At 50.7% G+C, this 16,121-nt stretch overlaps 1 protein-coding gene across 1 annotated transcript, besides 7 other annotated features; it reads right to left on the bottom strand.

Moving 5' to 3' along the window:
• Positions 1–1,408: 1,408 nt before the first annotated feature.
• Positions 1,409–15,595, bottom strand: SNRPA (small nuclear ribonucleoprotein polypeptide A). Its single transcript, NM_004596.5, has 6 exons — positions 15,317–15,595; positions 9,294–9,466; positions 7,188–7,367; positions 3,724–3,897; positions 3,123–3,211; positions 1,409–1,790 (listed from the first exon to the last, which is right to left on the bottom strand). The coding sequence occupies exons 1-6, from the start codon at positions 15,387–15,389 to the stop codon at positions 1,631–1,633; spliced, it is 849 nt and encodes a 282-aa protein (NP_004587.1). The 5' UTR covers positions 15,390–15,595; the 3' UTR covers positions 1,409–1,630.
• Positions 11,589–11,728: an enhancer, noted in NCBI's record as "active region_14666". NCBI's record gives its function as "activates an Ori minimal core promoter by ATAC-STARR-seq in GM12878 lymphoblastoid cells {active_cell/tissue: GM12878}" and the evidence as "EXISTENCE:reporter gene assay evidence [ECO:0000049][PMID:35858748]".
• Positions 14,361–14,988: an enhancer, noted in NCBI's record as "NANOG-H3K27ac-H3K4me1 hESC enhancer chr19:41257715-41258342 (GRCh37/hg19 assembly coordinates)". NCBI's record gives its function as "activates a minimal SCP1, AML or CMV promoter by ChIP-STARR-seq in primed H9 embryonic stem cells {active_cell/tissue: H9 hESC(primed)}" and the evidence as "EXISTENCE:reporter gene assay evidence [ECO:0000049][PMID:30033119]".
• Positions 14,989–15,616: an enhancer, noted in NCBI's record as "NANOG-H3K27ac-H3K4me1 hESC enhancer chr19:41257087-41257714 (GRCh37/hg19 assembly coordinates)". NCBI's record gives its function as "activates a minimal SCP1, AML or CMV promoter by ChIP-STARR-seq in primed H9 embryonic stem cells {active_cell/tissue: H9 hESC(primed)}" and the evidence as "EXISTENCE:reporter gene assay evidence [ECO:0000049][PMID:30033119]".
• Positions 14,989–15,709: a biological region, named in NCBI's record as "NANOG-H3K27ac-H3K4me1 hESC enhancer GRCh37_chr19:41257087-41257714".
• Positions 15,527–15,709: a silencer, noted in NCBI's record as "fragment chr19:41256994-41257176 (GRCh37/hg19 assembly coordinates)". NCBI's record gives its function as "represses an EF-1alpha promoter that drives an FKBP-Casp9 reporter gene in an ReSE screen in phorbol 12-myristate 13-acetate-treated (for megakaryocytic differentiation) K562 erythroleukemia cells {active_cell/tissue: K562(+PMA)}" and the evidence as "EXISTENCE:reporter gene assay evidence [ECO:0000049][PMID:32094911]".
• Positions 15,704–15,773: an enhancer, noted in NCBI's record as "active region_14665". NCBI's record gives its function as "activates an Ori minimal core promoter by ATAC-STARR-seq in GM12878 lymphoblastoid cells {active_cell/tissue: GM12878}" and the evidence as "EXISTENCE:reporter gene assay evidence [ECO:0000049][PMID:35858748]".
• Positions 15,974–16,113: a silencer, noted in NCBI's record as "silent region_10646". NCBI's record gives its function as "represses an Ori minimal core promoter by ATAC-STARR-seq in GM12878 lymphoblastoid cells {active_cell/tissue: GM12878}" and the evidence as "EXISTENCE:reporter gene assay evidence [ECO:0000049][PMID:35858748]".

Genomic DNA, 16,121 nt, shown 5'->3' with positions numbered 1-16,121 from the left:
ACCCAGGCTGGAGTGCAATGGCACGATCTTGACTCACTGCAACCTCCGCCTCCTGGGTTCAAATGATTCTTCTGCCTCAGCCTCCTAAGTAGCTGAGATTACCGGAGCACACCACCACGCCTGGCTAATTTTGTATTTTTAGTAGAGATGGGGTTTCTCCATGTTGGCCAGGCTTGTCTTGAACTCCTGGCCGCTGGTGATGCGCCCGCCTCGGCCTCCGAAAGTGCTGGGATTACAGGTGTGAGACACCACGCCTGACTCAACCTTTTTTTTTTTTTTTTTTTTTTTTGAGTCTCGCTCTGTGGCCCAGGCTGGAGTGGAGTGGCTCAATCTTGGCTCACTGCAGCCTCCCCGTCCTGGGATCAAGCAGTTCTCCTGTCTCAGCCTCCTGAGTAGTTGGGATTACAGGCACGCACCCCTATGCCCAGCTAATTTTTTTTGTATTTTTAATAGAGACGGGGTTTCACCATGTTGGTCAGGCTGGTTTGGAATTCCTGACCTCGTCATCTGCCCACCTCGGCCTCCCAAGGTGCTGGGATTATAGGCGTGAGCCACCCTGCCCAATCTCCCTTTCTAATCCAGAGCTGCAGCTGGGTTTGTGGCTGTACAGCCAGAAGTCACATATCCTAGACTTCCCTGCAGCTAGACACTGCAGGGGAATTGGGGTCAGGCACCTGCCTGAAGCTCCTGGCTGGCCACTGGCCAGGAAAGTAGATCACCTGTGTGTGAGGCGGCCACACCCCTCATACCAGCATCAAGTCAGTAGCTTCCCAGGAGTGACCAAATGAGTCCAGGCACTGCCGGAAGCCAGAGTGGCATCCCGCTGAACTCTAGCTAGGAGCTCATTCGGGGGCTGCAAACTCGAACTCAAGAGTCTCAAACCCAGACCGCCACTCCTACCACCCACACGCCCCATGATTTCAGCAGCACCAAGTTTCCTGTATTAAATTCCTTTCTGTTTGAACTACCTACTGTGGTTTCTCTGGGGCCATTGCTACAACAGGCTGCACTTTTGAGAAGAGTAAAAAAAAGGTGAAGAAACACCTCTCCCTGAACACTCTTGTCATCTGTTAGAAAAGTGGTGGCATAAACTTGTAAGCCTACAAAGTGAATGGTGTGCCCTTAAAAGGTGCCATTCTTGTGCAGTACCCATCCTGCCTAACTGTACGCGGCAGCCCTGACTTTCCATTTCCTGACCCAGGATTCCATTTCCTGCTGTGAATTGGGACAACATACAAAACTGCCAAAGTAGTCATTGTAACCTGAGTTTGAACAATATTACTACACTATCCTATGTTTCCCCAAGGTTGCAAACCTCAAAATGCCAAGAGGTCCAAAAACCCAGGATGTGCTGCTGAGGTGGAGGGAAAGGAACCATGAAGAGCAAGAAAATCAGACAGACAAATGATTGTGAAAAACCAAACCTCAAAAAGCCACTTTAATTCCGGCCTAACAGCGCCAGGTGCAATGTCTGGGGACAGACTCTGGGTACAATGCTGTGTGGCGACCACTCACTCACACACGGCTCCAAGAAGGCCCCCAAGGGGGGACTTACCTTCAGGGGGCTGAGCCAAGGGGGAAAGGGGTGGCCCCAGAACAGGGGAAGGGGCAGGCATGGGGGGAAAAGGTGCTACTTCTTGGCAAAGGAGATCTTCATGGCGTTGTTCTGCGTGATCTTAAAGCCCTGCAGGGCATCGCGAGCTGCCCCTGCCTGTACCTCATTGTCAAACTCCACGAAGGCGATGTCATGCCGCCCGGGTACCAGACGGACCTCCTTGAAGCCAGGGAACCTGAAAGAGAACGACAGACCTCAGGGACTCAGCATTTCCCCCTAACGTAACGGCATCAAGTGGACAGAGGCCAGAAATGATGCCAAATAGCCTCCAATGCACAGGGCAGGGCCCCATTACTCAGAATTATCCAGCCCAAAATGCAGATAGTACTAAGTTGAAAAACTCTAATGTAAACATAGCATTTAATGAAAAATTTAAACACAAACACCCATGCAACTGCAACCTAAATCAAGAAACAGTACACCGCAGTCTCCTGGGCCCTTCCTAAATCATAACCCACCCGCCACACCAAAAAAATAACCAATACCCTCACTTTTTCCATTTTTATTCTTGTATTTTTAGGAGAGAAGGGGTTTCACCAAGTTGCCCACATTGGCCTCGAACTCCTGACCTCAAGTGATCCACCTGCCTCAGCCTCCCAACATACTGGGATTTTAGGCGTGAGCCACCGCACCCGGCCTTACCCTCACTTTTCTGATATGCTGTTTCTCTAATTTCCCTCTTCTCATTCCATACTTCTTTCTCCATTAAGCAGCCATCCTCATGTTTACTAGGTATCCTTTTTTCCATCGGCATTCTCACAAAATATACAGCTTTGTGGACAGGCTGCACATGTGGTATTGTTTTTCTGTATTTTTCAGGTTCTCACAATCTTCTCTCGGCACTATTATAAAGTTGCGCTTTCTGTTCTTCTAAGTGCCACGCAGTGCAGCATGGTGAGATGCTGCATGTAGCCATCCCTTCTCCCAGACACCCTCCAACTCCCCACCACAAACACTGACGAATGCCCCACTCACAGCCCCTGAAACAGAACCACCAGATGAACTCACCCACACCCACGACTTCACTCAACAATGGTGAACAGCCCCTCTACACATCGGCTGCACCGGCCTCCACCCTGACGCCAGGCACAAGAGTTTCACGCATCCCCATCTCCCACACTTGCTGTTTCTGAGCACGCTGACTTCTGCCAGTCTTAGCCAATGTTCAAGGACATCTCAATGCAGTTTTACACATACCTTGCCTTGCATGCCCCCATTTTAGGGGCTGGGAAAATGAGGCCCAGAGCCTGGACTCCCTCAGCCCTCAAACAAGGCTGAAAAAAGCCGGCAAGCCCTGGCCATGGAGACCTTTCCAGCCTCACCCCCATGTCCCCCACAGGCCGTGGGCCCAGCCACAGCCTCCTCCTTTCACATCTTTGGTCGCTGTCCCTTCTGCAAAGCCCTACTTGGCTCAGAGCTCTGCTGGCAGAGTTCTGAGGCCTGTTTCCATGGAGATGCCTCCTGGCCATCACCCTCCAGGGACCACCCAGCCACAGGCCCCACTTACTGATTGAAAAGCATGGACAGCATGAGCTCGTTGGTCTCCTCTGGCAGGTTGGTGAGGAACAAGATGTGATTCGGTGGATTCTCAGAAAGCTGCGGGGGTATAGGGGAGTCGGTGAGCACAAGAGCCCTGAGTCCAGTGGGAGACCCATAGTACTGCCACTTCCTCCATCCCTCACCCTGCTTGAATTCACTCTGGTACTTCCACCCAACATACCACATATTGTTGTCTGTTGCCTGTCTGCCTCCCACCTCTTTGCCCCTACAGACTATAGGCCACAGGACAGCAGAGGTTTCTATCTCAGTCCCTGCTGCAGCCCTACAGTGCAGAACGGGGCCTGGCACGTAAGGAGGCGCTCAATAGCTCATGGAATCAATCTAGGTGCTGGCACCACTCCAGCCTACCCTAACCTTCCGTACCCTCCAACCAGCATGCCAATTCCTCTGCCCAGGGCCCACCCCCACTGCTACTTCCTCATTCAGTACCACCTCCTCAGGGGGCCTGCCCAGACCACCCAACCTACAGCAGCCCCCCAACTGGTCCCTTTCTAGTCCTGTATTCTCACTATTTATATGAGACCTGGTGGGTGGGACTAGATACTCACAGGCTGGGCAGGGGGCATCTGTCCTGGCATAAGCTGCTGCGGGGGCATGGCCCCTGGTGGGATCTGGCCAGGTGCAAGGCCTGGCGGGGGGATCATACCAGGGGGCGGCATGTAGGGCGGCTGGCCCGGCATGTGGTGCATAATGCGGGGCGCCTGAGTCATCGGCGGCATGCCCTGTGGAGAGAGGGAGGAGAGTGCGTGGTTACAGCAGCCCCAGGAGGCAGAGAAGAGGCCATGAAAGGAAACCTAGCGGGTGAGAGATGTAAGGAAAAACACCCAGAAAGAGGCGCAAAAGGCACCCAAAGAGGGCCCGACAGAGCAAAACAAACCCAGGGTCTAGTGGGACATTAAATCAGAAAGAGTTAAATGCTATTTGTGAGGCTGAGGTAGGAGGATCACTTGAGCACAGGAGGTCAAGACTGCATGCAGTGAGCTCTGATTGTGCCACAGCACTCCAGCCTGGGAGGCAGAGCAAGACCCTGTCTCTTAAACAAAATCAAAGGAGAGGAAGAGATGGAAAGGGACAGTCAGGGCAGGTGCAGAAAGAAATGTGTGGTAGGCCGGGCACGATGGCTCACGCCTATAATCCTAACACTTTGGGAGGCCGAGGCAGGCGGATCGCCTGAGGTTAGGAGTTTGAGACCAGCCTGGGCAACATGGTGAAACCCCGCCCCTACCAAAAATACAAATATTAGCCAGGCGTGGTGGTGGGCACCTGTAATCCCGGCTACTAGAGTGGCTGAGGCAGGAGAATCACTTGAACCCGGCAACAGAAGGTTGGAGTGAGCCGAGATCACACCACTGCACTCCAGCCTGGGCAACAGAGTAAGTCTCTGTCTCAAAAAACAAAAACAAAAACAAAGGAGGGCAGTGATGGAAAGGGACACTCAGGGCAGGTGCAGAACAAAACGCGTGGCAGCAAGGGGAAGAGGGAAGACAACAGATGGCAGGCAGCACACTCAGGGGCTGGAATCACAATCTGAAGTCCAAAGTGGACAGAAAACTAGGTGCAGGGAAGAGGAGAGAGGTTAACAGGAGCCCACAGTAATCCAGACACCATCACCAACTTGGAGAAAGTGTGAGTGGCACCGAATAGAGCATGACCCAGTCAGAGCCATGAGACTCATGAAAGCCAGAGAGACACGGAGGCTCAGAGACCTAAGGAGTGGGCCTGGTTCATCCATCTTTTCTTTTGTACTCGGTGCTTTTTGTATCCTGTTTGGAAAACAGGATGTTTCCACTTTTCATGCCCTCACCAAGGTCATTTAGACATTTTCCTGTTTTCTTCTAGAAACTTTATTGTGTGAGGGCCGGGTGCAGTGGCTCACGCTTGTAATCCCAGCACTTCGGGAGGGTGAGGAGGGCGGATCACTTGAGGTCAGGAGTTCGAGACCAGCCTGGCCAACATGGTGAAACCCCATCTCTACTAAAAATACAAAAATTAGCTGGGTGTGGTGGCACATGCCTGTAGTCCCAGATCCTCGGGAGGCAGGGGCAGGAGACTCGCTTGAACCCAGGAAGCGCAGGTTGCAGAGAGCTGAGATCACACCACTGCACTCCAGCCTGGACTACAGAGCGAGGCTCTGTCTCAAAAAAAAAAAAAAAAAAAAAAAAAAGAAAAAGAAAAAGAAAAGAAAAGAGAAAAGAAACTATATTTTGTGAGTTGTCACATTTGGATCTGCAATTCACTTCAAGTTATATTTTGCATATAGTATGAGGTAGGGCTAATTTTTTCCCCTTGCAGATACCCAACTGCCCCGCATCATGAACTAGGGGAAAAAAAGTCCTTTCCTCAGTGAAGTGCAGTGGTACCTCGATCACACATCAAGTAATTATACAAGTGTAGCTGTACCTAGACTCTTCATCCTGTCCCCTTGGTCTGTCTTCCTACCCTTCTGCCAACTGTATATCATCCTGGTTGGTTGCTGCAGGTTTTTTTTTTTTTTTTGCACATGGACGTGGTGGCATGTGCCTGTGATCCAGCTACTTGGGAGGCTGAGGCAGAAGATCACTTGAACTTGAGAGGCAGAGGTTGCAGTGAGCCGAGATTGCACGACTGCATTCCAGCCTGGGGAGACAGATTGACTGAGACTCCCTCCCGAAAAAAAACAAAAGAAAACAAAACAAAACAAAAAAGAGACAAGGTCTCACTCTGTTACCCAGGCTGGAGTGCAGTGACAAAACCACTGTTCACTGCAGCCTTGACCTCCAGTTCTCAAGCGATCCTCCCAGCTCAGCCTCCTGAGCAGCTGGGACTACAGGAATGAGTCACCACGCCCAGTTTTCTATTTTATTTTTTGTAGAGATGAGGTCTTGCTATTTTATAGAGGCTGGTCTTGAACTCCTGACCTAAAGCAATCCTCCTATCTTGGCCTCCCAAAGTGCTGGGATTACAGGCATGAGCCATTGGGCCTGGCCTGGTTGCTGGAGCTTCCCCTGGTCATGCAGGTCCTGGTGCTTTATTCTCCTCGCCTGGCTTGGCCTTGTCTTTCCACACATTTAGAAAGAGCCAATCAGTGTCCAGTGTTTACCGAAATTCCTGGTGGGATTTTGATTGCAATCACGTTGAATCTTCAATTAATTTGGATGGAACTGACCTCTTGACAATACTGAGTCTTCCTATCCATTGCTGAGTCTCTGATTTCTCCCAGCTACATTCTGTGATTTCAGTGTAGTCGTTCTGCAAACCTTTTGTTGGATTTACCCCTCAGTGCTACTTTTCAATGTGAAGTCTACTGGTCTGTTACTGGCATATAAAAATAAAACTGGGGGCCAGCCATGGTGGCTCATGCATGTAATCCTAGCACTTTGGGAGGCTGAGACAGTGAGTTTGAGACTAGCCTGGGTGATATGGCTAAGCCCCGTCTCTACAAAAAATGCAAAAGTTAGCTGGGTGGAGTGGCACGGACTGACAGTTCCAGCTGCTAGGGAGGCTGAGGCGTATCACTTGAGCCTGGGAGGCGGAGGTTGTAGTGAGCTGTGATGGCGCCACTGCACTCCAACCTGGGTGACAGTGAGACCCTGTCTCAAAACATAATATGAATAAATAAATAAAACTAATTTTTTTCCATATTGCCTTTATATCCAGCGATCTTTCTAAATTTAAGTTCACTTATTAATCCTAACAGTTGCTTAGTAGACACTTGGATTTTCTACATGCACAATGAGTTACAAGACACAGGCGACAAAATCAAGGCCACGGAGAGAGCGAAACCAAGTCATAGCCATGAAGAAAGACCTTGAGAAACAGTCACAAGGAGGGAACAAGAGTTTCGAAAGGAGATAGCATCATCTAGGTGCTCAATACCCCCCAAAAGAGAGAGAGAAACACATCTCTATAAAGAAATGGAAAGGAGGGGTCTGAAGCCCCAAGGGGAGAACTCTCCCCACCCTGTCCCAAAGCCAGTCCATGTGGCTGAGGAAGGTCTGGCAGTGGGAGGGTTGGTCTCCGGGACCTGGCTTACCGGGACAGGCCCCTGGACAGCCCCCACCACGGGGGTGGCTCCCCCGCCTTGCACAGCCTTCTTGGTGGCCGGGGTCTCCTGGCTCTTGGGCTTCCTCTTCTCCCGCTTGCGGTCCCGCTCCACGAAGGTGCCTTTCATCTTGGCAATGATATCTGAGTCGGTCTTGGCATACTGGATACGCTACCAAACAGAGAGCAGAACGGGTTAAGAGCGTGGATTCAGAGCCCAATTGCCAAGATTCAAAATTGGACCTTTATCAGGGGCCAGGTGCTGCGGCTCATGCCTGTAATCCCAGCCCTTTGGGAGGCTAAAGCGAGCAGATCACTTGAGGCCAGGAGGTGGAGACCAGCTTGGCCAACATGGCAAAACCCCATTTCTTTGTTTCTTTTCTTTTTTTTTTTTTTTTGAGACATTGTCTTGCTCTGTCACCCAGGCTAGAGTGCAGTGATGAGATCTCAGCTGACTGCAACCTCTGCCTCCCGGGTTCAAGCAATTCTGCCTCAGCCTCCCTACTAGCTGGGATTACAGGCGCCCACCACCACGCCTGGCTAATTTTTGTGCTTTTAGTAGAGACAGGGTTTCACCATGTTGGCCAGGCTGGTCTCGAACTCCTGACCTCAGGTGATCCACCCACCTCGGCCTCCGAAAGTGCTGGGATTACAGGCATGAGCCACTGCGCCTGGCCAGGAAACCCCATTTCTACCAAAAATACAAAAATTAGCTGGGCATGGTGGTGCGCACCTGTAGTCCCAGCTACTCAAGAGGCTGAGGCAGAAGAATCGCTTGAACCCAGGAGGCGAAGGTTGCAGTCAGCTGAGATGGCACCACTGCACTCCAGCCCAGGCAACAGAGCAAAAAACAAAAAACAAAAAACAAACAAACAAAAAAAAATTCAGACCTTATCAGGAGCTTACTGAGAAACACAGAAATATCTTGGCCTTAACTTCCTTGTCTGAAAAATGGGGATTATGATACTTCCCACTTCAAAGGACTGTTGTGAGGACTAAATGAGTTAAAGTGCTTGGAACAGTACCTGACACACAGTAAGCAAGTGTTCAGTAGAAAGGCTGTTGGTATTTTTAAGGGAAGCTGGAACAGCAATAAACATCAGGCCAAAGGACCGAGGAGACAATGCTAGGAGAGGAGTGCAGTGCAGGGGGATTTCCTGTCACACAAGAATACTTCAGTCTTCCAGGTTCAATCTCACTCACTTAGCTGTTTAAGGAGAACCTGCCAGATGCCAGGCGCCATTCAAGGCTCTGGGAATAAAGCAATGAACAAAATAGACAAAAACCCCTCTTTCATGGTGCTTATTCAGTAGGGGAAGGTATGTTAAAGATTCTTAGTGTGGCACAGTAGCTCACGCCTGTAATCCTAGCACTTTGGGAGGCTGAGGCAGGCAGATCACTTGAGCTCAGGAGTTTGAGACCAGCCTGGGCAACATGGCGAAACCCCGTCTCTACTAAAAATAAAAAAATCAGCCAGGTATGGTGGCACGTGCCTGTAATCCCAGCTACTCAGGAGGCTGAGGCAGGAGAATCACTTGAACCCGGGAGGTGGAGGTTGCAGTGAGCCAAGATTGCACCACTGCACTCCAGCCTGGGCAACAGAGGAAGATTCTGTCTCAAAATAATTTATTTATTTATTTATTTATTTATTTATTTTTTCTGAGACAGAGTCTCACTCTGTTGCCTAGGCTGGAGTGCAGTGGCAGGATCTCGGCTCACTGCAATCTCTGCCTCCCGGGTTCAAGCAATTCTCCTTCCTCAGCCACAGGAGTAGCTGGGACTACAGGTGCATGCTGCCACACCGAGCTAATTTTTGTATTTTAGTAGAGACAGGGTTTCACGGTGTTGCCCAGGCTGGCTGCAAACTCCTGAGCTCAGGTAATCCACCTGCCTCGGCCTCCCAAAGTGCCAGGATTACAGACGTGAGCCACCGCCCTCGGCCAAAGAAAAGATTTTTAAATGAGGCAAGGTGCAGTGGGAGCCTGGTCCAGCCTCACCTTGGCAAATGAACCGTAATATCCCCTCCTCTAATCCAGGCCCGCCCAGTCTCCTATAACATTTTACACACCCACACAGCCTCCGTACCCGCAATGCTCACCATAGGTTTGTCATAGAAAGGGAAACCCTGCATGGAGCGCAGGGCGTTGGTGGCGCTGCTGACCTCCTTGAAGATGACAAAGGCCTGGCCCCTCATCTTCAGGCTCCGTGATACCAGGATATCCAGGATCTGGCCAAACTGGGAGAAGATGGCGTACAGGGACTTTTTTAGCTCTGCAGTGGGGGAAAAAAAGACCTTTGAGCTCCCCTTTTTAGAAGAAGCGCAGCCCAAATAGAAGACCATCAGCCAATTGATGGGGTACCCAGAATGCCTCGGGTCCATAATCTCTCAAGACCTAACAATCACAGAAGCAGCCAGGAACCACTCAAGTGGCCAAGTACACTCTTCTACTCTTCTGTAAGATGTGCTTACAGAGAGCTGCTATATAATGAACATGTGCACATACATGCAAAGTGCTCAGGACAGCATCCGGCACGTAGTAAACACTCGATAAATGAGTGATTCTTTTCACTGCCACCAGCACCCTGACATGGGCCTGCATGACGTGGCCCTGGCAGATTTCCCCCACCTCATCCCTGCCCACATTCCACCGCCCTCCTGAGTTCCCAACCACACTGGCCCCCAGGTCTGACACACCAATTTTGCCCCAGGGCCTTTGAACTGGCTGCTCTCTTTACCTGGAACATCCCTCCCCTGAGGTTTACATGGTGGCCTCCTTCTAGTCACCCAGTCTCAGAGGAAATGTTGCCACCTCTGACCACGACGTCTAAATTTCTTCCCATGTCATTCTTACTCTACTTCCTTTTCTTTCATGACTATTTCCCACCTCCTGTCATGGTACGTTAACTTGTCTATCTTGCCTGAGGAGCTATAAGCCTGTCCCATTTGTTTACTGCAGTATGCCAAGCCTAGCACAGACTCCACCACAATTTTTTTTTTTTTTTTTTGGTGACAAGGTCTCACTTTGTCACCCAGGCTGGAGTGCAGTGGCATGATCATGGCTCACCGTAGCCTCAACCTCCCGGACTCAAGCGGTCCTCCCACTTCAGCCTATGGAGTAGCTGGGACCACAGGTGTATGCCACCATGCCCAGCTAATTTCTGGATTTTGTGCAGAGACAGGGTCTTGCTATGTTGCCCAGGCTGGTCTTGAACTCCTGAGCTTCAGCAATTAGCCCACCTTGGCCTCCGAAAGTGCTGGGATTACAGGAGTGTGCCACCACACCTGGCTGCAAACATTTGACTAGATACCATCAAGTGCCTTTTTTTTTTTTTAAAGACAGAATCTCCTTCTACTGCTCAGGGTGGAGTTCAGTGGCATGATGGTAGCTTACTACAGGCCTGACCTCCCAGGCTCAAGCAATCTTCCCACCACAGCCTCCCAAGGAGCTGGGACCATAGGCACGCAGCACGACGCACGGCTAATTTTTTATTTTTTGTAGACACAGTCTCCTATGTTGGCCAGGTTGGTCTTGAACTCCTGGGCTCCAGTGATCCTCCTGCCTTGGCTTCCCCAAAGTGCTGGGATTACAGGCATGAGTCATCGCACCCCCATCAAATGCTTTATGGAGGTAACTTCACTTCCTCACAACAAACCCATTAGGTGGCAACTATGACTGTCCCAATTTTACTGGAAACAGGTTCTCAGAGGATTCCTCACTGGCCCAGGGCATCAATCTGGAGGGCATAAGGAAGCGTATGGCAGAGCCCAGTCCACGTATTCCATCTGAACCCGGTACCACCACATCTCACCAGCAAAGGGCATCACTTGACAGCAAGTGAGATTCAAGCTCAACAAGGATGGACTCCCTCTCACCACCCAGGTCTGCAAAGGGCACCAATGTCTTATGCAAAGAAGATGGCTGAGATGGCCAAGCATGGTGGCTCACACCTGTAATCCCAGCACTCTGGGAGGCCGAGGTGGGCAGATCCTTTGCACTCAAGAGTTCAAGACCAGTCTGGGCAATAGGGTGAAACCCTGTCTCTACAAAAGATACAAAAATTAGCCAGGCATAGTGGTGCATGCCTTGTGGTCATAGCTACTTGGGAGGCTGAAGTGGGAGGATCACTCTAGCCTGGGAGGCAGAGGTTGCAGTGAGCCATGACCTCACCACTGGACTCCAACCTTCATAAAAACTGGCCAGGCATGGTGGCTCATGCCTATAATTCCAGCACTTTGGGAGGCTGAGGCAGATCACGTGAGGTCAGGAGTTCAAGACCAGCCTGGCCAAGACGGTGAAACCCCGTCTTGACTAAAAATGCCAAAAAAAAAAAAAAAAAAAAAAAAGAAAAGAAAAAAAATTAGCTAGGCGTGGTGGAGGGCGCTTGTAATCCCAGCTACTGGGGAGGCTGAGGCATGAGAATAGCTTGAACCAGAGAGGCAAAAGTTACAGTGAGCAGAGATTGCGCCACTGCACTCCAGCCTGGGTGACAAATCGAAACTCCATCTCAAAAAAAAAAGCTAAGCTGAAGCAGAAGCCACTTGTAAAATAGATACCAGGCTAGGAAAGAAGCAAGAAAATGTGTAGGCTGGGTGGGGGCAGGGACAGCAGTCAAGGTTGTTTTTAAGCAATTAGTCAAAAATTCTCCTGGTGGTGACATTTCTGGTTTTCCTCTCCGTACTCCATCCCCATGAATCTTGCTCAGACTTCACTCATTCCACGGGACTCTGGGCCTCTCTCTACTCTCCAGCCTCCCCTCGCCCATTCGCATTTACCCTCCACAGCTGGGAGGATATTCCACCAGGGAGGCAGCCAGGACAGGGAAGCAGTCTGGCTCCCCAACACCCTCAGGGCAAAGTCCAACACCTCACAGCCATGAGCCACCAGTGCACAGCTCACTGGAAGTTTCCCCATGATTTACAAGCCTCAAAACTACTTGTAATACTCAGAATACGCCAGGCTCTTTTGACCCTAAACATCTGAACAAGCTGGACCAAGTTAAGAATGCTCTTCTCCCTCAGTGTAACATAAATACTGCTTACTGTACCTGGCAGGCTCTCCAAAATGTCTCCTTTTCCTGGAAGCTGAATGGATCTCTCTGTCTTTCTAAGTTCCCAATCCCAGCCCTCAACACTCTGCCTAAGCTTCCTGCCTGATGGCCCTGACTACTCTGGGCTGTCACTGTCCTAAAGAACCAGGGTTCTGGCCGGGTGCGGTGGTTCACACCTGTAATCCCAGCACTTTGGGAGGCCGAGGCGGGTGGATCACAGTTCAGGAGTTCGAGACCAGCATAGCCAAGATGGTGAAACCCCGTCTCTACTAAAAATACAAAAATTAGCCAAGCGTGGTAGCAGGTGCTTGGAATCCCAGCTACTCAGGAGGCTGAGGCAGAGAATCACTTGAATTCGGGAGGCGGAGGTTGCAGTGAGCTGAGATCGCACCACTGCATTCCAGCCTGGGCAACAGAGCGACACTCCGTCTCATCTCAAAAAAAAAAAAAAAACGCCGGGCGCTGGGGCTGACGCCTGTAATCCCAGCACTTTTGGAGGCCAAGGTGGGCAGATCACGAGGTCAGGAAATCAACACCATCCTGGCTAACATGGTTAAACCCCTTCTCTACTAAATATACAAAAAATTAGCCGGGTGTGCTGGTGGGCGCCTGTAGTCCCAGCTACTCGGGAGGCTGAGGCAGGAGAATGGCGTGAACCCAGGAGGCAAGGCAGAGCTTGCAGTGAGCAGAGATGGTGCCACTGCACTCCAGCCTGGGCGACAGAGGAAGACTCCGTCTCAAAAATAAATAAATAAATAAAATAAGATTTAAAAACAAAAAACCAGGGTTCTATGTCACCAATGTGTCCCCAGCACTGCCCGATAATGGTTGGGCACCACACTCTAAAAACATATGCAGGCCGGGTGTGGTGGCTCACACCTGTAATCCCAGCACTTTGGGAGGCCGAGGTGGGCGGATCACCTAAGGTCAGGAGTTCGAGAAAAGCCTGGCCAACATGGTGAAACCCCGTCTCTACTAAAAATATAAAAATTAGCCAGGCGTGGTGGCGGGTGCCTGTAATTCCAGCTACTCGGGAGGCTGAGGCAGGAGAATCGCTTGAACCTGGGAGGCAGAGGTTGTAGTGAGCCAAGATCGTGCCACTGCACTCCAGCCTGGGTGACAGAGTGAAACTCTGCCTCAAAAAAAAAAAAAAAAAAAAAAAAAAAAAACATATGCAAAATTTACACTCCTGATTTTTTTTTTTTGAGACAGTCTCTATCACCCAGGCTGGAGTACAGTGGTGCGGTCTCAGCTCACTGCGACCTCTGCTTCCCAGGGTTCAAGTGATTCTCCTGCTCAGCCTCCCGAGTAGCTGGGACTGTAGGTGCGCACCGCCACATCCAGCTGATTTTTGTATTTTCAGTAGAGACGGGGTTTCACCATCTTGGCCAGACTGGTCTTGAACTCCTGACCTCAAATGATCTGCCCACCTCAGCCTCCCAAAGTGCTGAGATTACAGGCGTGAGCCAGTGCCCGGCTGCTGGTTTTGCTTTCTTCAACAGCAACTTCACTGGTAACCTCAAACTGAATCCCAACAAGCTCCTTCGGTTCTCCCGATAATTTTCTTGAAGTGATAAGAGCTAACATTTATCCAGCCCTTTACTAGCTGCCAGTTACCATAAAAAAGAAATACTGCAAGGTTTAGCTAATTTAATCTCCCCCAACATCCATGCAAAAAAGGTATTATGATTTTGCTCAGTTTTTAGATCTGGAAAATGAGGTTCAATAAAGGTGATAATTTACTTGAGAATGTGAGAGAGTCTTTCCGATTTCAATAATTGAGTTCTTTTTTTTTTTCCTTTTTTCAGATAGGTTCTTGCTCAGCCCAGGCAGCAGTGCAGTGGTGCAATCATAGCTCACTGCAGCCTCAACCTCTCTAGCTCAAGCGATCCTCCCACTTCAGCCTCCCAAGTAGCTGGGACCACAGACGCACCCCACCCACGCCCAGCCTTTTTTTTTTTTTTTTTTTTTTTTGTAGAGAAAAGGTCTGGCTTTGTCGCCTAGGCTGATCTTGAACTCCTGTGTTTCAGTGATCCTCCTGCCTCAGCCTCCCAAAGTGTTGGGCTTACAGGCCTGAACCACCACGCCCGGCCAAAAATTGGGTTCCTAAGCAGAATTCTATACGGGTGGCCTCAACCACTTTACTTGCTATGTGACCCTGGGCAAGTCACATCACCCCTGTCTCAGTTTCTTTTTCTTTTCTTTCTTTTTTTTTTGAGACGGAGTTTCGCTCTTGTTGCCCAGGCTGTAGTTCAATGGCGCAATCTCGGCTCACTGCAACCTCCGTCTCCTGGGTTCAAGCAATTCTCCTGCCTCAGCCTCCCGAGTAGCTGGGATTATAGGCATGCGCCACCATGCCCGGCTAATTTTGTATTTTCAGTAGAGAAAGGGTTTCTCCATGTCGGTCAGGCTGGTCTCGAACTCCCGACCTCAGGTGATCCGCCCGCCTCGGCCTCCCAAAGTGCTGGGATTGATTACAGGGGTGAGCCACCGCGCCCGGCCCCAGTTTCTTAGTTGACGAATGGGAATAACAATAGCCTTCTTCCTACAAGATTGTTGTGAGAATTAAATGTTATCAAGATTTATATGAAAGCACACAGACCAGCCCATGATACAGAGCGTTAGCCACCATTATGGTACATGTTCATTGTGGGCTGATCACTGAAAAAGCCGGTGACCAAGAAAGCCCCAGTCCTTGCCCTCACGGAGTTCAAAGGCCACTGGGAGGAGAGAGAGCCCCACGACAGCTCAGAGGAATCAGGGCTTGATGGGAGATGGTCTCAGCGTACGGCAAGTCAGCGGCAGCCACGTGAAGGGACAAGGCAAGGCTTCCTGGAGGAAGGGTCCTGTGACCTCAAACCTTGTAAGATGAGCAGCAGTGACCACGTTAAAGGGCAGAGTGTAAGATGAACTAATGGAGTGTTGAAGACAGGAAGTAGTTTGTGTAAAGGCCAAGGAGTTAACTCGAAGTTTGGCTGGACAAACACTTAGAAAGAGAGGCGGGTGCAGGGGACGGAAGAGGGGCCAGCCCGTGCGGGACAGTCTGGACTCCGGACTATCCCGAGAACTCACCATCCTTCTTGATCTTCTCATTGAGGTTGTTGATATAAATAGTGTGGTTAGGGCGGGTCTCGGGAACTGCCATGGAGTGAAGTGTTGAGGTAAGTCTTAAAGGAGGAAAAACGTGACTTTAGCCCTGGGTTTCTCCAAATCCTTTGTCCCAACGTCGGCTGCTCAAGGATCTTCCTCCGAAAAGGAAGTCAGGTAAGGCGGGAGTAGGGGCAAGGACGGAGGCAAAGCGCGACAACAAAGCGTGCGTAGGACCCGCTTCTCCAGCCCGCGTGCGGAGAGAACTCTCGAGAGATTTACTACGACTTCCAGGATGCTCTACGCGACCCGGTGGGCGGAGCACCCTAAATGGCGATTCCCATTGGCCCAAGCATCCGAAGGGCCGTCCCGGAGAAAAAACCCGGATGTGGGAGCCAGTATAGAAAAAAGGGACAGGTCCTAGGCAGCCTGGCCTCGAGCAGCAAGTTTCCTCAGACGGGCCCAGGAAGGCCCGGACGCCAAGCGTACCGCTCGCCTGCCGCCGATGGTCGTTTGCACCGGAGGTTACCTTCCGACAGGGCCGTAGTTCTCTCAACCGGCGCCTGCTACTTCCCTGAGACCAAACCACAAAGCTTTCTCTCCTGGCCCCGCCTCTGCCTTTCTGCCAGCCAATCGCCGCGCGGAAACGCAGTAGCTTGACCAATCAGAGCAAGTCTCGTTTCTGGGCTCAGCTGTTGCCAATCAAAACGATATTTGGGTTCCCGCCTAGGTAGAAAAACCCCGCCCCACTCCCTGAAAGCCCACCTCCTTCCGTGGCGCCCGGGTCTAC

The sequence above is a fragment of the Homo sapiens genome, chromosome 19 (assembly GCF_000001405.40).
Source record: "Homo sapiens chromosome 19, GRCh38.p14 Primary Assembly".
NCBI classification, from domain to species: domain Eukaryota; kingdom Metazoa; phylum Chordata; class Mammalia; order Primates; family Hominidae; genus Homo; species Homo sapiens.
Note: the sequence above shows the minus strand (reverse complement) of the source record. Positions and strands in the feature narration are given on the sequence as shown.

Bases quoted from the DNA above. Each gene is read 5' to 3' on its own strand.
- SNRPA (NM_004596.5), bottom strand. From the start codon at position 15,389: ATGGCAGTTCCCGAGACCCGCCCTAACCACACTATTTATATCAACAAC. The intron at 9,467-15,316 runs GTGAGTTCTCGG...CCCCCACTGCAG, and splicing joins TGAGAAGATCAAGAAGGATG to AGCTAAAAAAGTCCCTGTAC. The intron at 3,212-3,723 runs GTGAGTATCTAG...ATACCCCCGCAG, and splicing joins AGATGCCCCCTGCCCAGCCT to CTTTCTGAGAATCCACCGAA.